This window comes from Homo sapiens, chromosome 8 (assembly GCF_000001405.40).
Source record: "Homo sapiens chromosome 8, GRCh38.p14 Primary Assembly".
NCBI classification, from domain to species: domain Eukaryota; kingdom Metazoa; phylum Chordata; class Mammalia; order Primates; family Hominidae; genus Homo; species Homo sapiens.
The window spans coordinates 100,264,227-100,291,374 of NC_000008.11; the positions used below are offsets into that span (position 1 = coordinate 100,264,227).

The 27,148-nt window shown below is 35.7% G+C and overlaps 1 protein-coding gene across 17 annotated transcripts in view; it reads right to left on the reverse strand.

The window, feature by feature from the left end:
* RNF19A (ring finger protein 19A, RBR E3 ubiquitin protein ligase) overlaps positions 1-27,148 on the reverse strand; it is a 79,138-nt gene that overhangs the window by 7,160 nt on the left and 44,830 nt on the right. For all 17 annotated transcript variants that reach the window (NM_001280539.2, XM_047421671.1, XM_047421673.1 and 14 more), the window contains 5 exons: positions 23,275-24,041; positions 10,727-10,935; positions 5,643-5,787; positions 4,559-4,721; positions 445-559 (listed from right to left, as the gene is read on the reverse strand). In NM_001280539.2, coding sequence (NP_001267468.1) covers positions 445-559; positions 4,559-4,721; positions 5,643-5,787; positions 10,727-10,935; positions 23,275-23,948 — 1,306 coding nt within the window. In that variant the 5' untranslated portion in view covers positions 23,949-24,041. The remainder of the gene's footprint in view (positions 1-444; positions 560-4,558; positions 4,722-5,642; positions 5,788-10,726; positions 10,936-23,274; positions 24,042-27,148) is intronic.

The window sequence follows — 27,148 nt, forward strand, 5'->3', positions numbered from 1 at the left end:
AACAACAACAAAATAACTCACAGAAACATGAGTTTTAGAAAGTCTTTTCAAGAGAGTCATACAGAGAAAAGCGCCAGGGTTCTGAAGAGTTGGCTGGAACATTTGCCAAAAGTAGATTTACCCAGTTGTTAAGCAAATTCAAGGTTCCCAGCCTTTCAGGTAATGCACATAAGGGGAAAAAGAGAGAGATGCAAACTTTTTTCTTTTGAAGTGCCAGGCCTCCGAACTGTACTTGGGGTGGAGTGGGGAGGAAGGGTATCAGCCACTAACAATTTACCAACTACTTTAAGGCTAGGCTCTTGAATCTGTAATACTTTCAACCAAGACTTACTGCAGGCTCAATTTAAATTGTCCTCAAATTAAAAAACAATTAAAAAAAATCCTTCCACAAAACTTTAACTCCATAAAATTGTAGGTAATTAGTACTTTTCAGCATTTTCTTACCTACAGTCACTGCAGCTACTACTGGAGACACGATTACAGACAACGTTACACCACCTGCTATGGCCAAATTCCGTTTGTGCTTTGAAACATCCTTGCCTTCATAGCGATTGTGAATCTTGAATTAATAAAAATAGGGGTGGGGGATTAAAGAGAAAATACATTACAATTTAACTTAGTTGAAAAAGATCTATACTTGCTAAAGTGATTTTTCATAGAAGTTCGTAGCTGAGTATCTTAGTTCAAGGTAAACCTACTAGTGTCCTTAAACTATTATATATTCTCACAAATAATTTGCTCCTTATTAATTTGCTTAAGACAGTGATTTAATGGATTTTACTTTGTGCTTAAAAGTTCTGAGTAAAAGTCATCTTTATAATCTTAATCAAAAGTAGTGTAATTATGTATCGAGCAAAGAGGAAGAAATTAAGATTATTATTTTCAACACAGTTATGAGTTACATGGTTCACCAACAGGATACTTCCAGCATTCTAAAGGTTTCTTTCTAAAGAATATTCTCTAAATGGTAAAAATTGGCTTCTAGGGAAGGTTTCTTTTTAAAAATTGACCTTAAAAAGCAGTTCTAATAAACAAGTATGAATAAACAGTATTATTTTTTTCTCAGATCCTTTTTATGAAGACAATATTGACAAATGACTCAAATTCCAGGGCTCTCATTTATAGCTCAAAGTAAATGGCAGAGAAAGAAAAAAGATGATAAATAATGGCTACCAGAAGACAGGATTGAATTCACTCAGCAATCTCTGTACAGGACAGGTGTTAATAAGTAGAATTTGATATCATCATAGAAGCGGTGATTAAAAACTGGCTTGTGAAATTATATGAACTTTGAGATCTTTATTTTCATGGTTTGCAAGGGCTAATATGGCACATTTTCCCCCTCTGTTCCAAAACAAATTCAAAACAGCCTCAAAAGTATGGGGACTCTCTAAAATAAAATGACTTATAAACAATACTACAGATGGGACTTATAAAATAATCTATTATTACATGGTATAATAACACCTTTGGCCTTTGGAAGGCTGTAAAGTACGATGAGTGTTGTGGAAAACAGTAGAAAGGTTGGGGTGGGAGGTGGGTGATGCATGTATGGGACAAGAAACCTTTCTATTTCCTAGTCAGAATCCCATTTCCCAGCATTGACTAGAGGTTCCTTGTCAATGAGCCTCCTCACTTCCCTACACAGTCCATGCAGGCAGAGATGGTAGACCTTCCCAAGGTACCTTTCATTATCCTTCAGCACTGCAGCTAATTCCTGCTCCTCCCCACTCCCATTCCTGGGAAACTTAGCACTGAAGAAGAGAAAAGGCACAACTGATGGAGCAGACTTGCAAAGGCAGGCTGCCAAGAGAAAGGAGTCTTCTAGAAAATTTTTCAGCCTCAAGCACCAATGTTTGATTAGTGATCACATTATCCCACTATTTCTGGTTCAACTTAATTTTTCTGTTTACTATTTTTTGCCACATTCTCTACTTTTTATTGTTAAGTGAAGGCTCAGCTTTTGGGTACTTTATTGACTTAGCAGGTTTTCCTAGGCTGGTTGGGATCCCAAAGCACCACAGAATATTATTTCAATGGAAAACTAATTCATTCATTTACAACCCTTTGGGTACATGTTTGAAAAAAGGAGATCTGTAACTGTACCCTATGACCTGAACAATGAGGTAAATAATCTCTTCTCTATAAATGATTTATAGGTACATGTGGTACAACAGTCTCTCTTTCCCTTCTAAGTATCTGAATAGTTTTGTTTTCAGCAAAGCCTTGCTTTGAATAACTACATGAAAAATTACGATCAGCTAATATATTTTGAAATTTTTTATTTTTTCTCTCTTTTTTGGAAATAGGGTCTCTCTGTGTCGCTCAGACTAGAGTGCAGTGGCACGATCACAGCTCACTGTAGCCTCAACCTCACGGGCTCAATCAATCCTCCCATCCCAGCTTCCTTAATAGCGGGGGCTACAGGCATGCACCACCACTCCCAGCTGATTATTTAGTTTTTTGTAGAGACAAGGTGTCACACTGTGTTGCCCAGGCTGGTCTCAAACTCCTGGATTAATGCAATCCTCCCTCCTCACCCTCCCCAAGTGTTAGGATTACAGGCATGAGCCACCACACATGGCCCAACATTTTTTAAAGTCCAGGTTTACTCACTTAAAACCTTCAGAAATAAATATGTGACTTATAAATATGTTTGTCATCAGCCCCAAAACTAATTTTTAAGAAATAGTATATATTATTTTTCTGATTATAAAATGTATGTTGAATATAAAAAATTCAGCTGTTTTACAGAAGAAGATCAACCTTATTCCCAGTCGGGTCCCAGAAGTTAGAAACAGAAATAAAGGAAACAAAAGGAAACAGATCTGACTCAAACGTAACAATTTTGTAACAATTAGTAGCCATTTTACAACAGAATGGATTGCTTCATGAGTTGGTGGTTTCCCCATGACTGAGTTCCCAAATAGCTACTGAAACTTAATCATGGAACTTATATTAAGAATTCATGCATCTGAGTTCAAATCTCAGCTCTGCTTCTTTGTGTGTAACTGAAGATATATTACATAAACTTTCCTAAATCTCAATATTTTAACACACAGAGACCGAAATATCGAGGTTGCTGCAGGGTTAAAATAAGTAAAAGTACATACAACACCTATGACACAGTATGACAACCTTTAGATCCTTTTTTTATTTTAGAGATAGGATCTTGCTCTATCACCCAGGCTGGAGTGAAGTGGCACAATCACAGCTCACTGCAGCCTCCACTTGCCCATCTCAAGCAATCCTCCCACCTCAGCCTCCCAAGTAGCTGGGACTACAGGTGCATACTACCATACCCAGATAATTTTTAAATTTTTTTGAGAGATGGGGTCTCACTATGTTGTCCAGGCTGGTCTTGAACTCCCAGCCTCAAGTGATCCTTCTGCCTCAGCCTCCCAAAGTGCTACGATGACAGGAGTAAGCCACCATGCCCAGCTTGTTAGTTCTTTTTTTTTTTTTTTGAGATGGAGTTTTGCTCTTGTTGCCTAGGATGGAGTGCAATGGTGCAATCTCAGCTCACCGCAACCTCCACCTCCCAGGTTCAAGTGATTCTCCTGCTTCAGCCTCCCGAGTCTGGGATTACAGGCACCTGCCACCATGCCTGGCTAATTTTTTCTGTATTTTTAGTAGAGATGGGGTTTCACCATGTTGGCCAGGCTGGTCTTGAACTCCTGACCTCAGATGATCCACCAGCCTCAGCCTTCCAAAGTGCTAAGATTACAGGGGTGAGGCACCGCACCTGGCCTGTTAGTTCCCTTTTTGAAAATTGCTATCCTTTGTTCTGCTTGGGTACAAGGTTGGGATTAATTTCTTTTTATTTTTTAAAAAAAGTTTTAATTTTTTTGATCTTCTTGGATACCAAAGAAAATTTCTTTTTTTTTTCTTTTAGCTATATTCTACTGAAAGTTACTTCTCAATCCAGAGATTCTATTAATTTAGGCAACAACAGACTTCTTAGGACCTCATAAATTATCCCATTAACCCTTAACAAAAGAACTATTTGCTTAGCTAATGAAATATAATTCATCAATTAGAGGCCAGTGGTAGTCACTGGTGTTTGGACTTTCACAAGATTGTTATAATTTGCAAAATAGTGTATTTATTAAAAGCAGTAATCCAAAAAAAAAGCTTTGAACTACAGCAGAAATAATTCAAGAACTGGCTAATTATTCTTTGCCTGAGGGCATGTGTTATTTAGCTATTAACTTTCATTAAAAAGATCTCATAGACCTGACCTTACAAGGATATACCTATGAGAAAAATCTCAGGTGTGTATCCTTCAATATTTTATACTCAAAGTTTTATAATACAAACATACTAAAATTTTCAGATTCAGAACATTTTAAAGCAAGTCTGCTTTATACGTATTTATATATGCTTGCCAAACACTAAAAATTTATGAAAAAAGAGTAACTGTTTTATACTGAAGAAACTAAAGATACCCTTTGTCTAAAAAAAAAAAAAAAAAAAAACCCAAAAATCATCAATACTAAAAGAATACACCTAAAGATTTAGAATAAGATAATGGACTAACAAGAAGTATGCATTTTACCTTGCGGCCCACATACACAGGAATGCCAATAATCATTGCAGGAATAGCAATGCCAGCTATTAAAGCGATTCCGACAGGAGCACCAACCAGTGTTCCCAGTTGCCACAATATTTTCTTCTTTCGGCTCCAGGGTTTCTTCCCCCAAAAAGTACATCCTGATGGACTAACGGAAAAAATTATAATGTAAATAACTGCTGCAAAACACCACAATAACAAATTAGTGCACTATATTAAAACAATGACTATTTTTAAAAACTTCTCATAGTTAGGAGCTTTTTTCCCCTTTAAATTCTGAGTTCATTAAACTAAGGTAAGAACCACTATAAATTATATTAACAAGATATTGATATATCTTATTTTATATTATATTTTATTATTTAATCTATATTATATTAACAAGATACTGATAACTGAAATTCAGGTTAAAAATTTATCCCTAGTCTTCCATTACCCTCATACCCTTAAGTCAGTTTAATAGTAAATTAATGCAAAACATGCATATTTTTAGGCATCAATTATCTGATTATATCACAAACTCACTCTGTAGCCTAAACGATAAAATTTATGTATGGGAAAATTCAATGAAGTATAAGGTAAGAACCACTGTAAATTATATTAACAAGATACTGATAACTGAGATTCAGGTTAAAAATTTATCCCTAGTCCTCCATTATCCTCAAACCCTTAAGTCAGTTTTTTAATAGTAAACTAATGCAAAACATGCATATTTTTAGGCATCAATTATCTGATTATATCATAAACTCACTCTGTGCCTAAATGATAAAATTTATGTATGGGAAAATTAAATGAAAGTATTTATGGGTCTAGCATAATTACACAGGGTATTACATACTTACTAGCATTCTAGTTTAACAAAAACAAAAAAAGGAAATATCCATTTCCTATTTTGACTAGTTATTAATTCCAAATGACTAGCATAATAACTTGGTTTCTTTTAAATTTATTTAACTAGAATAAAACCAATCCCTTTAAGTATCTTATAAAACCCAAATTTAAGACAAGTTATTTTGTCTTACAATATAAAATTACATTTACATATAAATAGCTCCTTCTATAAGCTTACCTTAGATAATGCAAATCTGAGATTTCTTTCATACACAACCAACAAAACTCACAACCACAAACAGCACATGTCATGTGATTGCAGCTCCCATCATTCATCTTTATTATATAAGCAGCACATCGTGGACATGGCTTTATATCATCAGCTATTGGGAACACAGAGAAATCTATTAAGTACATAAAACTGGTCTAAAAATAACTTCTAGCAGTTTACCAATTGTAGCACTGTCAAAAAATCTTAAGATGTAGTTTGTTAACTTATAGCTTCAGCCTGCTGTTTTTAGTATATAAAGCATTTTTTCTTCCCTTCTAAGAAAACATACTTTACATTAAAATATCAAGTTATAAACATTTTTAAAACATAGTAGTAAAACAATGAGAACAAAGAATAAAAAAAGAATAAAAAGAGAAAGGAGAATCAAGGACAGCTCTAGGCAAATTGTGAACTACGTAAAGTTTGTCTTTGTCCTGGTCCCATAGAAGTCTTCTGAATGGTAGTTCCCGGTTCCAGAACTTTTCTAACCATCTTCCCTTAATTCAAATGTACACGTTCTGTACACTATTCCTTTAGTGAATGAACACTAACAGGAGGTGACAATTTGATATTAATCTGAGGTGCTATATCCAAAGCACTATGAATTTATTTCTTCTAATTACATCAGTTATAAGCACTATAAAAATAGCAAAACAGGTATCTTTAGAAAAGCAGCCTTTTCCCAGTATTTTACTTCACACAAAAGAGAGATGGACCTTGCAAAGAATCAGTACCCAAAATACAAGGAAGGAAGGAAGAGATTAAGGAAGGGTCATATGGCTATGAACGTTATAAACCATGGAAAACAGTTTCAGAATAAAAGCAATCATTGTTAGTTATGCTCATGACTTTTAAATTAGTTGTGTTTATCCTTTTTATTCATTTATTCACCCATTTACTCAACTGTTGTTGGTCTATGCTCCTTGTATAATAATATGGTTACAATGCACAATGGCGTCAAGTTAAAATCAAGTGTAACATAACTTTAGGAAAATTATACAACTACTTTGCATGTTGGCATCTGTTTAAATAGTAACTTGTAATTACTATTAGCCAGCTATATTTTCCAACTACTCACAGTTAAGAAAAGATATTTATAGTGCTAACCACTGAATTTAAGTATTTGTTCCAATGTCTTACATTATAAGCATTAAGCTATATTCCATTCTTTCTACAAGTTTTATGGTCAAACTTTACCTGTGCTTTATCAGTTAATTCAGGTTTCCTTAGCACTTCTTCTAGGACCAAAGATGCTTTTTTTTTTTTTTTAACTTAAGATCTGGTCAATGCTCACAATTAGTATTTGCTTTAATGATTCAAGCAATTTTGAGCAAACTGATACTCTAAGCAGCCAGACCAGGACAATTGATAATTACTAGAATATAAAAATTAAAAATATCCATGTCATGATTTAAATGATCAAAAGAACATGAAGTCTGCATTTAACAATTTTAAACATTGGGGTATGACTAAAAAAAGCTGGCTTTTATGCCTGATACAACACGTGGTATACTAAATTAAGGAAATGCTAATCCTATCTGCGTAAGCAGCATGTTAATCGATAAACTTTCTCATTCCAGAGTATGCTCAAGTAGTAGGTATCTCAACAAGACAGGGGAGTAAAAAGACTCAAGCTTTGGTAATGATGCATGCAATCTTTGGAACAAACTGAAAGGTAACATCCCCATTTATTCTTATGGTTCTAAAAACACAAAACAGCCTTTTAATATGCTAAAATCACACATGAGAATTAATACCACAAGCAATGTATTTTTGATAGGTCTCTATATACTTGTACCCATATCTTTCACTCTCTGTATACTTATTTATCTATGAAAGGCTGTTTAGTTTGCTTTGTGTCTTTCCTCAAAGCAACAAATTAGGAAAAACTTACTGTGCACATTATAGGATGATATATTTCTCTCCAAATACCCTCATGATGCAAAAATCCTAAATGAAATTGTTTATGGTTAGTTGATCCCCCATTCCCCAAGAATCAATTAAGCCACCGTTCCCCGATATGAAAAAGCTTCCCATTTCTATTTACAGTGTTTGGCTAAGCTTTCATCTTCTGTATCTTTTTGTTTACTGCTAAAATATGGGCCATTGTCATATTAAGAAAAAACAACAGGTTACAAAACACCATGTCCTCAAATGTTAACAATGATAATCTCTTAGGGTGGTAGCGGTAAGGGGACAGAGGCAGGAGTGGAGAGCCAATTAAATATTTTATTTGCATAAAATGGGAAAACTACATTAACAAAAATGAAAAATATGTGGTTCATTTAAAATTTAACTCCAAGTGCCTAAACCTCCTAGTAGCTATAAAAAAGAGCCTCAAGTGGATGCAGTGCTGTCACAATTTAAACACATATATAAACATTATACTATAAATATTGTATTATTTTATAAACACAAATATTAATGTACTTTATGTAACTAAGCACACATCTTCAGTGACTGGGGAAAAAAAACAACTAATTATTATACCAATTAATATTAAAAGTAAAACTAGTTTTTTAGACTATCATGATACAGAAAACAATACCAAAATATCTGGAATAATAATAAAACCATTTAGATGGTAGCTTCCTTTTTAACTTTCTACGAGTCTGCGAGAAGCCAAGTTCACTACACTTTTTTTTTTTTTTAAATTAATAGGGTCTTGTTCTGTCGCTCAGGCTAGCATGCAGTAGCACAATGGCAGCTCACTGCAACCTCCACCTCCTGGGGTCAAGCAATCCTCCACTTCAATCTCCCAAGTAGCTGGCACACACCACTAGAGATGCACACCACCACGCCTGGCTAATTTTTGTATTTTTAGTAGAGACGGGATTTCACCATGTTGCCCAGGCTGTTGAAGTTTTAGAACTTCTGAGCTCAAGCAATCTGGCCGCTTTGGCCTCCCAAAGTGCTGGAATTATAGGCATAAGCCACTGCGCCCAGCCCTCACTGCATTTCTAATTCTTCCTCTTGTTTTTGGAAACAGGGTCTCACTCTGTCACCCAGGCTGGAGTGCAGTGGCACAATCATATTTCATTGCAGCTTTGACTTCCTAGGCTCAAACGATCCTCCCACCTCAGCCTCCTGGCTTGCTGGGACCAGAGATGCCCATCACCACGCCCGGCTAATTTTTTAAATTTTTTGTAGAGAAGGAGTCTCGCCACATTGCCTAGGCTGGTCTCGAACTCCTGGGCTCAAGCGATCCTCCTGCCTTGGCCTCCCAAAGTGCTGGGATTACAGGTGTGAGCCATTGCGCCCAGCCAAGATTTTTAAACAAACATGGAACAAATTCCAAATGAAGTTTTTTTTTAAAACAATCGCCTTGAGACTATTTATTCCAACAATGTTATTGTTCGGCTAAAAGCATTTGGTAAGGTTTTCTTTCATAATTACCCTCAAAGCTCCTTTAGATAAAAGAAAAATCACTCATGATCATATAGTCACATCTTACTTTGCATCTATACCAAACCAATAATCCAACCTGGTATGATACTCTAGCTGCTAGACTTGGCTCTAAAGCAACTTTTAGTCATTCTCAGAAATCAAACTGATACTAAGCTGACATATCCTAAAAGTTATGCCAATGAGGCATTCCAGGGAAGCACTGCTGAAATAAACACAAAAACTCCCATGGTGACTACGTTGAGGAAGACCAATATTCATTTGGATAACTAAATCATGATTTATTTTAAAAAATAATAAAAGCCATTTCTGTCGTTTTTTAATTTAATGATAGCCCAGACATACTTAAATCTCTAGAAAGTGACTGTGGTTTCTCTAAGGTCCCCTACCTCATATAGCAAAAGCACTTACTATGAGCCAGGAACTATTTCAACTATATGGACATAAGCATTATTAGTATCTTTATTTTATTATTATCATCATTATTATTTTTTGAGATGGAGTCTCACTCTGTCATCCAGGCTGGAGGGCAGTGGCACAATCTCGGCTCACTGCAACCTCTGCCTCCTGGGTTCAAGTGATTCTCCTGCCTCACCTCCCGAGTAGCTGGGGATTACAGGCGCCCGCCACCACGCCCAGCTAATTTTTGTATTTTTTTAGTGGAGACAGGGTTTCACCATGTTGCCCAGGCTGGTCTTGAACCCCTGATCTCAAGTGATTCGCCTGCCTCAGACTCCCAGAGTGCTGGGATTACAGGCATGAGCCACCGTGACTGGCCAGTATCTTTATTTTAAAGATGAGACAAGTAACTTGCTCAGGATTGCTCACGGAGTAAGTAGAGAATGTGGGATTTGAATTCAGGCAGTCTGATTCCAGAGTCATTCTCTCTTGCTCTGTATGACTGTGTGTTCTGTGACCAATAAATACACACCCCCAACTTGGAGGAGAGGAATATCATTTCCAAGTGAACTACCCAATGGCTACTGCTGACTCTTCAGGGAACAGTTTAGGTATATTCAGGTCCTCTCTGAATTGCTTCTGGACCCATACCTACAAATTAACACTAATACTACTGAGTTCCACAAATCTTTAGGAAAGAGAAGCAAATCAATCAGCAAACAAGTATAAAAAAACATTTATGTTACAAAAGTATTAAATGTCGAACATTCTGTGTTAAAATTTCATGTGACTTTTTTTCTAGTAGCATAAAGTACATGATTATCTCAATACACTGCTGGCAGGAATATAAATTATTTTTAGTAGAGATGGGGTTTCACCACGTAGCCCAGGCCGTTCTCGAACTCCTGGCCTTAAGTGGTCGGCCCGCCTCAGCCTCCCAAAGTACTGGGATTACAGGAGTGAGCTACCATACCTGGACAGATACCTTTATAATCAACAGTTTCAGACTATCTTTGGCTATCAGTTATATAAATCATCACAACACTTCCTTTTTTCCTGGACAGTATAATCTTTCTAATTTCAGAACCACTTTCTTCCATAGGAAAGAATGAGTGCTTCTGGGATAGAAATGCACTTAAAAACACTTTCGGCAAGTGAAAGGAAAACAGGAATACTTAACTTTAAAAAGTTAAAATAACTAGTGTTTTGTGTCAAATATTTTATTAGAAAAAATTAGACATAAATACCTGCTGCTCCAGACTCTTGACTATAACTAATGGATGAAGAACGTATAGTTCTCAAACGTAAGCTCTGGGCTCTCTCTTGTCGAGCAGCATCACAGGTCTGGTTGGGGTGCCAAATCTGTTTACAGTGGTAGCAAAACTCTGTTCCACAGCCCTCTCGCCCACAAGTTAATTTTGGACAGCTGGCACATCCAAATGCTATCACAGCATATCTTGAAAGAACAAGAAAAATGATTTAAAATGTGACATAAAACAAGAGATACTCATTTCAAAAAGTATCCAACTAAAGATTATTCCTGAAAAACATTTTCTATTTATACATTAGCAAACAGTCATAAGCACAATCTCACCAATATAAAAATGGGGGAAAATGAAGTTTACAAATGAAGATATATAAATGGTGTAAAATATTTTAAAAGTTCAATTTTTAACTTTCAGGGTTTTTTTTTTAGGTTCAGGGTTTTTTTTTTAGATTCAGGGGGTACATGTGCAAGTTTGTTACATAGGTCTATTGCATGATGCTGAGGTTTGGGCTTCTAATGATTCTGTCGCCCAAACAGTGAACACAGTACCTGACAGGCAGTTTTTCAACTCTCGCCCCTCTCCCTCAACTTTTAAGTAGGATACCAAATTGCATTTAGCCTAATCTCAATTTTATAAAAAACCATATTAAATTAGTACAGTATTGTATGCACACAAAAAAAAGACTAGAAGGAAAAACACCAAAAATCTTAATAATGGTTTTCTTGGTATTGGGTTTTAATTTTCTTGTTTATATGTTTATACATTTCTGATTTTCTACAATTACTTGTTGAAGTGGAAAAAGTTAAAAGAAAAAAAGATTGCCTGTTTAAAAATGTAGTGACTATAGGTTAGTTTTAACTGTCAGGTAATGGCATACTGTGCCAATTTATAAATTTTGTGATAATTTTGTATGTATGCAGAAGTCACACATTTTTCTTCCTAAGATGCATGGCAAAAGTGGTCTTTGGTGCCAATCTCCTGCCAAAAAATAAAAAAAAACTGTTTTTTTTTCCTTCGGATTAAAGACTGAGAACTGTAGATTCATGACTAGCAGGAATACCTTTCTCCGAGTTAATATTTCTGACACTTTAAAAACTTATGACTTAACTTCTAGGCATTCTTTGGCATTTATCCCAAACAAATGAATATTTGTGCTCACACAAAAACTTGTACACTAATGTTCAAAGCAGCCTTATTCAGAATAACCAAAACTGGAATGAGCCCAGATGACCTTCAAAAGGTAAATGGTTAAATAAGCTATAGTGCATACACACTACCATCAATAAAGAAAGTATTGATGCAAGTAACACCTTAGGTGACTCTTCAGAGAATTACACCGAGTGAAAAAAGTCAATCTCAAAATGTTACATACTGTATGATTCCATTTATATATTTTTGAAATGTCAAATAGATTAGTGGTTGCCAAGGATTAGGAATGGGGACTGGGGAGGGGAAAGAGTGGGGGGAAGTACATGTGATTATAAGAGAGCAACACAGGCCAGGCATGGTGGCTCACACCTGTAATCCCAGCACTTTGTGGGGCCGAGGTGGGCAGATCACTTGAGGTCAGGAGTTCAAGACCAGCCTGGTCAACATGGCAAAACCCCATCTCTACAAAAAATATTTAAAAAATTAGCCGGGAGTGGTGGCACACACCTTTAATCCCAGCTACTTGGGTGGCTGAGGCAGAACTGCTTGAACTTGGGAGGCAGACGGAGGCTGCAGTGAGCCAAGATCACACCACTGTACCAAAAAAAAAAAAAAAAAAAAGAAAAAAAGGAGTAAAATGAGGGATCTTTGTTGTGATGGAACTGTTCAGTATCTTGACTGTGGTGGTGGATACACAAACTTAAACATGATAAAATACATATAACTAAATACACTGTGCAGAAATAACTAGAAGTAAATCAGGAAATTTGAGTGAGATTGGTAGATTGTGTCTATGCCAATATCCTGGTTCTGATATTGTTCTATAACTTGTGCAAAATGGCACCACCGAGACAAACAGTGAGAAAGGTACATACGATCTCTGAATTATTTCTTACAACTGCATGTGAATCTACCATTACCTCTATAAAACTTTCAATTTAAAAATTTCTAGAAGTTTCTAGTTTGCTTTGAAAGCAGCAACAATCAAGTTTTATCAATGCATGTCTTTTGTAAATACTAAACATTTCCTTTTGCCTGGAAATTTAGGGGAGTTTTCAGAGCTGTCAATAAAATTTAAGTAATAATTGTAACTGAGATTGCAATTAAGTTTTAAGATACTCTATAAAATTGTGCAGGATTTTAAGAGTCAGGGAGTTCCCTCCATTTTTGGACTTGTTGATCCCTTAGTATCACACTCTTTTTTTTTGAGACAGAGTCTCGCTTTGTTGCCCAGGTTAGAGTGCAGTGGCGCGATCTCGGCTCACTGCAATCTCCACCTCCTGGGTTCAAGCTATTCTCCTGCCTCAGACTCCCGAGTAGCTGGGACTACAGGCGCCCACTACCACGCCCAGCTAATTTTTTTGCATTTTTAGTAGAGACGGGGTTTCACCGTGTTAGCCAGGATGGTCTTGATTTCCTGACCTTGTGATCTGCCCGCCTCAGCCTCCCAAGTACCACGTACTCTTTAAACACATCTTAAATTCCACTTATTTCTGATAGACCAATTATCTAATTACCATTCTCTATCCAGATATGTTCAAACAGGACTGAATTAAAGGCAATTTATAATCAGCAATGGGTAATTTAACAAAGCTTCATTTCCCTGAGCTTTAAAATTTCCAAGACAGCTTATTCATCGCAGTCCCAGATAAAGAAAAAAGACCCTATTTTTTTTAATCAAAGTTTTAATCTAAAGTATCTATAAGCTAAAGTGTAGTCTTTGTTTTAAAACAATAACGTCAGTGAAAAGGATTCTCTTCCAAACTTTTTCTCTACCTACCTTTTATTGAAGGAAGGAAGAAGGAAAGAGGAGGGGCAGAATGGGGAAATCTGTGTATGCAGGAGACAATGCCAAAACTGTTTTCTGAAGTTGGTTACAATTTACAAAGGCAGCAAAGAAGTTTTAGCGTGGCCAGTTCAAATTCTACTTCCACCACTTAATACTTGTGTAATTTTAAGTAAATTACATTATCTCCCAACAACTAAGTTTTCCCATACATAAAACAGGCATTCACTTTAGTTTGGCTTAGCCTCAGTATTCAGCCAAAATAATCTTTGGCTTTGGCCTTGGCCTTTAGAATGCCAAATAAGCACATGGCTGCTTTGATAACATTTCTCATAGTTCTGCACTTGTGCTTGACTAATGACCATTTGATCATACAAGTGACTATCATTTCTACATAAGTAATATAAATAATGTGTTATTAGGATTGAATATTAATATCTGAATACTCAAAATAAATATTGGTTGGCATTTTAGACATAACAATAGAAATCTTTTATATGGTAACATTTTACTGGATAACTGAGTCACTTAAGTATAAATGTCCAGTATGTTGCAAGAGTAAAATGCTATAATCTTTGTGATGACTGTAAAAGCCAAATTTAGGTACATGCTTAACTTTCAAATAATTAAATAGGAAAACAATTTACAGCTAATATGAACACTGAGAGTGCTTTATCTATATAAATTTAGGAAGAATATATCGTTTCTAAGCAAATAAGTATTTATAAAAATATACAAGGCAGATTAATAGAAATTAGATTACATATAATTCTAACCTTTGTAGAAGGCTGTTCAATATACTAGTATTCATAGCACTACACTAACTTTAAAGAACTGACCTAATTTTTAATTAATGATTTAAGTAAAAAAAATTAATGAATTAAGTTTTAAAAAAAAGTACTTCTTCTTGACAAGAAGAATTAAAAGCAGAACATCAACCTCGCCGTTTAAAAATTTCATGACAAGTTCCAAAATCTGGTACAATTTCCATAAAAACATGAAGGGGTTTGGCAAGAAAACAGAGAAAACCGTGGACCTAAAGCATATTTTCTTCTCAAATTTTTCCTTGTATTTCTAACTCTGTTCAGATCTTCTCAATAATTAAATTTTAAAACAGCTTCATAAATTGCTTTCAGATGATAATTCCTTACAAGTTCTGAGTCTAGAGACTTAAACTCATGAAAATGGCTGCTTATAGAGAACAAGATTTTTGAGATTTATCCAAACTTTATACCAAATATAATGTTCCTCCTATAAAATATATTACTATAAAACTTTTTCCTGAATTATATCAATAGTGATATTAAAGTGAATATTTAGAATTTTTAAAATACACAGTATAAAATATACATATATACACACGGTATATTTATTAGGAGCAAACTAATAGCTGGTAGTGTAGGGGAAATTACTAATCCTGCATTACCACGTCAAACATTTAATATTTGATTGCCAGGTTTTGTTTTGTTTTGTTTTGTTTTTTTAAGCAGAATCTTACTCCGTCACCCAGGCTGGAGCACAGTGGTGCAATCTCGGCTTGCTGCAACCTCCACCTCCCAGGTTCAAGTGATTCTCACGCCTCAGCCTCCCAAGTAACTGAGATTACAAGCGTGAGCCACCAGACCTGGCCAATTTTTGTACTTTTATTTTTTATTTACTTTTGAGATGGAGTCTCACTCTGTTGCCCAGGCTGGAGTGCAGTGGCACAATCTTGGCTCGCTGCAACGTCCGCCTCCCAGGTTCAAGCTCAGATTACAGGGGCGCATCACCATGCTTGGCTAATTTTTTTTGTATCTTTAGTAGACACGGGGTTTTGCCATGTTGGCTAGGCTTGTCTCGAACTCCAGACCTCAAGTGATCCGCCCACCTCAGCCTCCCAAAGTGCTGGAATTACAAGTGTGAGCCACCACACCCAGCCTCAATTTTTTGTGTTTTTAGTAGGGATGGGGTTTTGCCATGTTAGTCAGGCTGGTCTCGAACTCCTGGCCTCATCTGCCCACCTTGGCCTCCCAAAGTGCTGGGATTACAGGTGTGAACCACCACTCCTGGCTTCATTTCTGATTTCTTTTAATTTTTCATAACTTCAATCTCTTAAGATAGCTATCTTAAAGCACTGTTATCTCTATACTCCCTATGATTACTTATAATCATAATTCCTCCACTTTGATAATGAAGCTGAAGTTAAAAGAAATACAGTGAATTGGCCAGTCATTAAGGGGCAGGACTGGATTTGAACAAATCTCCATTCAGTGCCCGGCCCTTGATTGCTAGTTTTTAAAAATTAACTAAAAATTTCCATTTATTCTTGTATCCCAGAAGTTCATCATACTATGACGGAGATACCTGACTTTGGCCACCTGGCATTTGGTCAAAATATATCCCCCAAACTAGCAAATAATAAAAAGACTTGTGAGATTAAAATAAGATTATACATATGTAGTGTTTGTGTGTCTGTGAAGAGAGATGAGGAGAGAGGAAGACAGAGGACAGGTAGGGTTACGGGGGTAGAGAGAAAAGGAGAGTTTAGTTCACGGCATGTTATATTTACTCAAATGTTAAAGTACCAACATTTTATGCTACTTCTCAGTATTTTTTAAATGGAAAAGGTAAGATGTCCTACCCCTAGAACTAAACATTCAAGTCTTACTGAATTTATACAAATTCCGAAGAAAAACATGTTTACTTTAATAATACTGACCAAATGTTTTCATAAATGTATAATCTGACAACAAAAGTTAGAGCAGTTTGTCTAGTAGTTTTTTCTCACACTAACACTTATTGAGTGCTTCCTATGTAGGTGTTTCACATTCATATGTATTCAATCCTAACCATAACAGTATTAGGCACGTTCTGTAATATATCAAGGAATTAAATGTACCTGGCATTCACACATTTTGAAAACAGATTGTCAGGCCTCTTGAAGATGACGTTCCTTTTGTGGGAGCTGTATTTACTTGCCATTGAAAAACAACTCTCAAATTATAATGGAAGCAAATGGTAAAAGTAAATTAAATACAAGACACTTGCTTTATAGAAAATTCCAGGAGTCTCTCTGCTCTGGTATAATAAGTGTTATTTGGAAAAAGAACAGGCTCAATAGAAGGTCATGGAAATAACTGAACATCTCTGACTCAAACAGCCCCCAGACCTTAGTTTAGTGGTTAGCTCCATTTCCTTCCATGGTCCATTATTTAATTCAAGCCTTACTTTCCTTCTCTATCCTTCAGCTGAAGGTCTCTAGGTACTGTACTTGAAATGCTTAACCTAGGAGTGGATGGACAGCAAGAAAGTGGGGAAGACAGGAAGGGGCTGAAACAGCAGTCTCTCCAGAAGTATCTTCTGTTCACTGCATTGTTAACAGGTGACCCACACTAAGAACTCAGTGGTCAAGTTAGGAAAATGCCAAGTAAAATTAAAGTGGTTTTTGTTTTCTATTATAGGATTTGCTAAAACAATTAACATACCAATGTTCAGTACATAGTCTGCAGTATTTTCTTAATTTACTTAAATTAAGTCATTTATAATATCTCCTGGGAGAATTTCATAGTACTATGTTTTATAAATTATACTATTGATAACATCAAGCAAGTAGGGATACCAGATAGGGTGATATATTCTACCTGGAGCAAATTCCTTGTGAGGAACAAGTAAGAAGAAAAAAACATACCTAACATGAAATGTAATCCTAAGAAAGACATGACAGTCTCAATAAATATTTTGATTACAAAATGACACTGTCTCTCATGTCACGTCGATTAAAAGAGAATGAAGAAAAAGTATCTGTAAGTCCAAAATAATTTTTTAAAGCATAAAGCTTTTAACATACCTTTAAATAACTTTCTTTGTTCTTTAAAGGTAAGAACAGAAAGAAAATATAATCAGAAATAGCAAAATTATTTGATCCAGTTAAGGGGAACAGTCAAGTTTTATATCAGAATCAAGAGGCTCATGTTTCTACTTTAACATTTTGATTATTCCAGTGAAAAAGGAATGACTTACTTAATATACTTGAGAGAAGGTCTAGACAAAGGGAGGTTCATCTCCTGGTTCCCTTTTTTAGGATTTGCAACCTGCAGACAGGATGCATTCTGGTTCTTTTTTCCACTATATGCTGCAGGAGAGGCCTTCAGTTGTTCTCAGGGCTACATGCCTGAGACTAGTTGGGGAAGTCTGTCCAATTTAGGGATGAAGTGTTAGCCAGCCATTTTGGCTGCATATCCAAAGCTACATTCTTTAGTCAACTAATTAGAGAAAGCTGACATGTCTCCTGTGTCATACATTAACATGGTTTTGAATGAGGGTGAAGGGGAAGAATGTTATTTTTATTGACTCATTAAAACACCACCAAAAATCTTAGTATCAACTAACAATGTTTGGTATAGGAGTAATATACAGATTGAGCATCCCTAGTCAAAAAATTCAAAATCTGAAATGCTTAAAGTTTATTACACTGTCAGAAGACATAGAAAATGTGATTTTTAAACTTCAAAGAACTACCCACATAGTATATTTAATTATTTAGTGTTAAAATATACCTGGGTTAATTTTATGGTTAGGAAGAATAAATTAAAAATAGCACTCTCAGTTCAAGCTATTAACTCTTATAATATGTTTATGTATGTGTGTTCTAACACATACAATTTATCACTAGTCATGAATTACAACTTCCCCTGAAATGTAGTTTATTCATTATGGCTCTTTATACCCTAAATCTGTTTTCTAAGTCCCATGTACTTGTTTTCTCTGGATAAAATCAAAGTAGGATCTGTGATCTCTGCAAAATTTGTAAAAGGTCTACAACAGCATTTCCAGCATGTCAAAAGATAGTCAAGGTATAGCTAAAACACATCTTTGCAGGATGAGAATGAGTTACACAGACATTAATTAGAATTCTAAAAATACATGTTATTTAGTCCCTAAGTCTATGGCCCTATTTTTTTTAATCCATTAAGAACAATATTCTCCACCAGAGTAAGTTATCATTGAAAACCATTTAAATGTCATAGCAAACCAGCTTGAAGCTTACACAAAGCCAATTATAGTTGATCACATTACCCAAATGTATATGAGTTATGTTAGTAGCATACAGTCAGGCTGGTTCATTGAACAATTTTTTATTGAGCATGAGGTTAGCCTGTGGTTCCAAAAACAAAAAGGAACTTTTCTGGAGGATCCTTGGGAGGCTCAGAGACAATAAATCATTAATTATGTCCCAGTATAATAAATGTTCTTGTATATTCAAAGCTCCCCAGCAAAGTCAGAAGAACTCACATGGGATGACAGGGATAATGTGCGCTGGTAGCAGGGTGGCCTTAGCCAACTGAAACAGGTGATAGAAACTAAAACAACAACTTTTTGCTCATCTGCCTAGACAATGTACAAACTAGGACTCCAAGGCAGAGGGTAATCAGATATTTTTATTCAAGGCAGCTTCTATGCTTCTCCTCCTTGCACACTGGGATCCCTCCCCCAATTTTTCTCCCTAACTATGGCTGGATTTTTCTCTGAACCTGTGAGGACTGGCATGTTCTAGAAGCTGTCTAGCTAGACTTACTCTGGTTAAATCACAGCACTCAAATTTGGTCCCCTGGGCCCCTCCTCAAGTGGGATTTTTAGAAATACCGTCCTTCAAACAAGTATGATCAGTCCTAGCCCTCAAAAGAGTGGAAAGAATATTAGGTCAGAAACCCCAAGAGATCTTAAATGGAAACCAGGTCAGGTAGAACTCTTTTCTACTCTGTGGTAAGGACAGTATTTCTCAAGGTGTGTTAAACTGTATGTTTAAGTAAAATTAATGTCAGATACAGAAAATGTTCATACCTATAAATAACAAATGCAAAAGAAAAAATTCATAATTTCACATCTAGCATTTCTGGAAAAGAACCTTTCAAGTGTGTTATATAATAAAAGGGTTAAATACTACCTATATGCCTATGGTCCTGACACCGTGGCTAACCATTTTTATAAAAATCAAATATTCAGAAATTTACCAATATTTCTTATGCCAGATTTAAATAAAAAATGGGGTTTTAATTTTTAAAAAGGGCGGTCCTCTGTGTGTTTCAAAGGCTTCAGTAAGCTTCAATAGGTCAGGGATTTTTGTCTTGTGTTCATTAATAAACCTCCAGTTCCTGGTACATAGGTGCATTAAATATTTGAATGATTATCTGATTTAAAAAAAAAAAGCAAAACTTTGGAAATACAGATGAAGAATAATAAGTAAGAGCAATGACAAGCTTACTGTGTGCTAGGAATTTTGCTAGTAATAGCATTAAAGATCTCACTTAATCCTTATAACAACAAGATAGGATAGGGACTCAAAATCAGGTATTTACAGCTCATAATAAGTAAAGCTAACTTTTAATGAGGGCTTGTGTAGTATCCTATGAAGTATACATACAAATTTTATATTATTGGGTGACATTTTCTTCAAAACACAATCATAAAACCTACATCACCAAGTATGTGAAATACGACCATAACAACTAACAGAGCAGTATAAGTCAAATATAAAATAAAATACACAAAAGTAATCTCTGTGACTTTTTTTCCTCTGTCCTTTGTGGGTAAGACTATGACAACCAATAACACCAAAAATTAATGTATGGCCAAATTAATCACGGACAATTATTTGTTAAATTTATATAATAATCACGTGGTTGTTTTCATAGTAACAGAGTCTAGTAAAGCAAGTGTTTCTATTATTTTATGATATTTTATATTTGAGTTAACATTTGAATTATCATCTCTAAAATATTAATACTGAGCCATTTTACTTTTTAACAATGAAGTCTCAATGAGAAGAAAATGTGCCAAAATATCCCAAAGTATGAGTTTCTGATTATTTTTATTAAGAAATATCACATATAAAAAAGGTTTATAAAGAATAGTAAAATAATACTCCTGTATCTACCACTGAAGTTAAGAAACATTATCAGCAGGATGATCATTAACTCACAATCTAAATTGGAACACTTGAGAAAGAAATGTAGTGCTATTAAAAATTGTATCAGTATACTAAGCATGAACTGGAAATCAGAACCTTTATTTACCAGTGGCTTTACAAGTAACTTGGTTACCCCCTGAAGTTCACATCCCCTCTTCCTACTCTCAAGAGGTAACCAATAAAACCAAATATATTTATCTATTCTACTGTTAATGAACATTTTTTTGTTGTTGTTATTGTGGAACATCCCTGTACAAATCTCCTGGTACACAAGTAAAGATTTTCTCTACAGTACTTACCTAGGAGTTGAAATTCTCAGTTGTAGAATAAATGTGTGTTCAATTTTAATACACAATGTGGCAGTAGGTTAATCATTCACCTATATTTTCTTTTAATTTTTTCCTTTTATTTATATAACCTACACCTCTGTAATCTGTTTTGATTTTAATATATTGGTGACAATCTAATGTTTTCCCCCTCAAATAACTAATTTTCGTAATTCTATATGTTGAATAATCAATTCTTTTCCAGTTGGTTTGGCATGTTTCCCCTAAAATCAAGTTCTTATACAAATTATAATTTGCTTTAGCCCTACCTATTGTGTTCAATTAGGTTGCTAGTATTAACTATATATTATGATGACATTACCAATCAATCTAGTACAAGATAATATACAGCAATTAAGTGACCAGAAGGTTTGTGTCCCTGAATTTACTGTCTTAATATCTCCTGGCCAAAGGCTGTGACAACTTAAGTCTCCTTTTCCTTTATCATTGTCAGAATTTTTTTTTTTTTTAAGACAGGGCTTTGCTCTGTTGCCCAGGCTGGAGTATAGTGGCGCAATCACGGCTCACTGCAGCCTCGACCTCATGGGTTCAAGTTACCTTCCCGTCTTGGCCTCTCAAAGTGCTGGGATTACAGGAATGAGCCACCACGCCCAGTTGTAGATTTTTTTTAAGCTATTAAAAATTTAGAGGAATGTATGAAGCACCTCTTGCACCCTGGGGTTCTATGAAGGATAGACAGAAAAATCACACTCTTTCTGTAGATGAAACATAACATAGACATATTCCTCAGTACCTGAACTCTTGCTATGGGAGTATTTGTTATAATGACTCACAAAAAGTTTTTTTAAAACTAAAATTTGCTATCCTACTTGAAATCTACTCTAATTTCAAGAGTATAACTTGCACATGTGCACCAGTGGAAATGCACACTTGCACCTGTGAAAACGTTATGCAGGGGTCAGTCCATGGGATCAAGGGCGATTCAATCGCATCTAAGCTGTTTTTCTGTCAGAATACTGTCTTCTGCTCAAGTTATTTAAAGCTACTATTCATTATTCCTATTTTCTTCCCACCTTTTTCTTGAAAATTTAGCCCTGCATACGTCCCAGAGTTTGCTTCTGCCATTACACCTGGAAACACAGCTAACCTTGGCCCAGTTTAGACAGCATCCATAACGTATTTTGTTGTTATCTATATTATAGTACAAGCTCCCTGCAGTATAGGACAGCATAATTCAAATCTAATAATGAATAATATCTGAATCCTACATACAACTAATTCATAAAATATTAATTAGGTAATTTTTGAATGTTGTATATTACATAGAAATCCTTGGTGGATGGTAAAGTGTTAGTGATACCTGGGAAAATTGGGATTTGCACAGGCAGGAAACACTACTTTTCTCATTTAAAATTATGGAATGTAGGTTAGATGCGATCTGAAAATTCACTACTCAAGAAACTTTTAAATAGTGGATTTGATTCAGGTAATGAGTCTTGAAGTTGTAATTTGATAAATGAAACTCACATCCCAGTCTTGCCTCTGAGATTATACCCAGATAATCTTGGAAGTTCTAGGTTTCCCCAAACCTTACTTATAATCTCTGGTTTACTAATAGTATGCTACGTATCACATTAATTGTTTGTGGCTTTTACTATTCCTGAATAGTATATGACTACTGTTTCCCTAATTCTGACAACTGTACACAATAAATACTCTATAAACAGGAGCTGCTCACCAACATAATAATCAAATATATAAGCAAAATTATTTTATTTTAAATGTTGAGAATATGGTATGTGTAATTCAAAAACTTGAGGCAAATCCAATATTACATAACCCCTAGAACTTGAGACTAGCAAATGCTTATGTATATCAACATGAACACATCATACTGTGGCACATGCTAAGGTAGGTACCTTTCAAAAGGGCCATTTATCTCATATGAGAAACATGTCAACAAAGAGAAAAAAAATAAAGAAGGTCATTTGAATTTATGACCACAAATAACCCCCTCATCATAAACAAACCTGATCATTTCATCTGTTATTCCAAAATAAAAATTCTCCAAATGGATGAGAAAACCAATTTTGTATACAACTAGATCCTGTACTCTACCACCTTACCCTTTCCTTCTAAAAGTGCTCAGTGAGTATGTAACGCAGAGACGATATAGAAATGAGTAAGATAGGATCACTGCCTTTAACACCTAGCATAGTGCCTGACATATGGTGTGCACTCAACATGTCTGTTGAATGAATTCTCCAGCATGTAAAAATTTTTCTTTTGAGTAATAGCAAATTATTTTATCCACAGAGAAAAAAATTAACTCAAGAAAAATCAAACATTATCTTCTTACCCACAGTCTGGAGCTGGACACCACCTACAATCAGGATCTGCAACAAGCCACCGTCTAAGCATAAATTCTTCGTATTTTTCCATCAAGACATCATCACTTAATATCAAGCGAATATCATGGGGATTAAACCGTTCAGTACATTCTGGGCAACTAATATTAACTCTGCTTTCAGAGATTTCTATCCTTAAATATTGTCGTAAGCAATCCACACAAGATCTGTGATGACAAGTCATTATATCAGGAAATCTGTCTTTAGAATGCCGCAAAAGGCACAAAGGGCACTCTATGAAGTCTCCAATTTGTTTGCTGATGGAAGTTAATCCATTGTCAGAAGAGGTATTTGTAGAGAAAATGGAGTTCTTATCAGTACACATTTCAGAATGTATACTTTCAATACTTGCAATTCCATCCACCCCGCCATTTAGCTCCCTTGATTTACGTTTGTTATCTTTTTTCCTCCGAAACAGGGAGCCTATTGAAATTCTTCTTTTTTTGGGTGCCTTTTTGACTGAAGGCAAGCTCACAGATGAAGCAGAGGACTGAAGATCTCGATCTGAACCCATTTGCCGATGTAAACTCATGTCTAAAATGCTTGTTAGAATTGAGACAGGGTCAGTGTTTACACACAGCCCTTCATTATATTTAGAGATAAAACCTATTTCTTGTTCTTGCATTCACATTAAGTCATGATGTAAGAATATCCTACTTGGTTCCTTCAGAGAATTCTTGAAAAGTTCGATTTACAGAAGACTGCTATCATGGATGTTCTGAAAAATAAAAAATAAAAAAATCAAGATCATTTAATTGTATTCTTAGTTTGTATATTTTTATAAATATGAAATTTCAAACAAGTATGTTTCTTAACCATTAGTAGTAGTTGTTTTTTTTAACAAGGCCAATTTATTAAATAGTCTATAAGAAACTACAAGACTAATGCTGAAATAACAACAAGGGCATTCTTTAATCTTAATAAAAGATTCTAGATTTGAGCTGACCAGAAAAAACTTCTGGTCATTATCACTCTGACTTCAATGATTTCTCACTGCCTTTAGCAGGTCTTTTTGTTGTTGTTTATAACTGACCATCAAGTATACATGCAAATACAAAGGGCTAAGAATAGCTTACACAATCTTGCAGAACAAAGTAGGGAAAGGGCTCTAACACCGCCAGATATAATGACTTCTTATAAAGTTACAGTAATTAACATAGTGTGCTATGCCACAAGGATGAATACAAAGACCAGTGGAACAAAAAGTAGTCAAGAAAAAGTCCCATATAGGCCAGGCGCGGTGGCTCACGCCTGTAATCCCAGCACTTTGGGAGGCCAGGATGGGCGGATCACAAGTTCAGGAGATTGACACCATCCTGGATAACACAGTGAAACCCTGTCTCTTTTAAAAATACAAAAAACTAGCCGGGTGTGGTGGCGGGCCCCTGTAGTCCCAGCTATTCGGGAGGCTGAGGCAGGAGAATGGCGTGAACCCGGGAAGTGGAGCTTGCAGTGAGCCGAGATTGCGCCGCTGCACTCCACCCTGAGCAACAGTGCGAGACTCCATCTCAAAAAAAAAAAAAAAAAAGTCATATATATGTATATGAGACTTGATTTCTGACAAAGGTGATGTTGCTGAGAACTGAGAATAAATGGCCTTTAAAAAAAGAAAAATACTATGTCTACTGGTTATCCACCTGAGAAAAGAAACTTGATGGATGGATGGCTCACCCATGTGTGAAAATCAATTACAGATGGTTTACAGATCTAAATATAAAGCTTCTAGGAGACAAAAGAGACTATTTCTATGAAAAAATTCTTAAACAGAACATACAAGAATACCAACCATAAAATAAAAGACTGATAAACTGGACTAGAATAAAATCAACAGACAGTATTAAGGGTATGGGAGGAGACTTTTGCCACATATAACTAATAAAGGCACAGTGCCCAGACTATGTAAAGAATGCTTACAAATCAATAAGAAAACATAGACAATCCAATAGAAAAACGGGCAGGGGACTTAACAGGCATTTCACAAAAGGATATGAAAAGTGCTCAACATCATCAGTCATCAGGAAAAAACACATTAATGCCACATTCAGAGACAACACACCTAATAGGATGGCTAAAATTAAAAGACTGACATTTCCAAGTGTTAGCAAGGATGTGGAAGAATAGGAACTCTCTTACACTACTCGTGGGAGTGTAAAATGGCACAATTACTTTGGAAAACTGTTTAACAATATCAAATTGGAACACAGAGATGCCCTATTACCCAACAATTTCACTCCTAGAAAGGAATGCATAAGAAAAATGAATGTACACATACATTAAAAGACATACTTAACAATGCTCACAATAGCATTAGTAATAATATTCAAAATATTGGAAACAACCCATAATTTTATCAACTGTAGAATGAATACATAATTTGTGGTATATTCACACTCTAAAGCAATGAAGCAATGAAAAGGAATAAAATACTGCTACACACAAGACAGGACTCTCATACAAAAGAGTATGTGGTATAATTCTATTTATAAAAAGTTCCAAACAGAGAGAATTAATGTACAATGTTAGGAGTCAGGATTGTGGCTACATTTTGTGGTGAGGCACAAAGGGAACTTTTTTTGTTTTTTTGAGACACAGTCTGTGTCTGTTGCCCAGGCTGGAGTGCAGTGAAGCAATCTCGGCTCACTGCAGCCTCCATCTTTTGGGTTCAAGCAATTCTCCTGCCTCAGCTGGGATTACAGGCATGCGCCACCATGCTGGCTAATTTTTGTATTTTTAGTAGAGACAAGGTTTCACCATGTTGGTCAGGCTGGCCTCGAACTCCTGACCTCAAGTGATCCGCCCGCCTTGGCCTCCCAAAGTGCTGGGATTATAGACGTCAGCCACAGTGCCCAGCCAAACTTTCTTAATATGTGCAGTATGCATAGTGGTTACAAAGGTATGTTCACTTTGTGATACATACACGACCCAGAAACTCATGATTAATGTGCCTTTTTCTATGTGTTTTTTTCCTCCTATGGCTGACCTCCTAATTAACATGTGTTCTCTGGAAAAACATTTCACTCAAACAAACTTCACCTCATGTCCCTCGGTTTATATTTCCCTTCACAAACACAGGATAGATAAGGAACAGTCAGAGAGCTCAATCTATACAAATACAGTTATGCATCACTTAATGATCAGGATACATTCTGAGAAATGTGTCATTAGGTGATTTTGTCGTGTGATCACAGAGCACACTTACACAAACCTAGATGTTATAGTCTATTACACACCTAGGGTATACTGTATAGATTATTGCTCCTAGGCTACAAACCTGTACAGTATGTTACTGTAGTGAATACTGGAGGCATTTGCAACACAATGATATCTGTGTACCTAAACACAGATGTTTCATTTCTTTGGCTCTCCGATATCCTGCCAGTGCCTCACACTGGGTAAATCCAACCAGAAGCCAACTGCCTCTAAGGCAGTCCTTAGAGGTCAACCTCCTGGGGCACAGAGCAGGGTAGAGAAGGCTGAATGAGAGTAGATCTGGACATGCAAACAAAAAACATCCAGTATTGTATGTATAAAGAAGAGAACTTGGGAGTCAAAAGACCTGGCTCAGCTATTTTTTGTTATCATATCCTAGGTAAGATATATTCCTGAATCAGTGATCAGGACCACAAAATATGGATGATACCACTCACCTCAAATAGATGTTCTAAGAATAATATGAAATTGACATGTGTTAAACCTGCCTAACAAACCCGGCACCGTACTAAATGTTAGCTGAAATGGAATGTAAGATAACCTAGTGCTTTACAAAATGTGTACCTTATAGCAAGTGCTTAGTATTAAATGAATGAATGATGCTTTTCAGTTGCT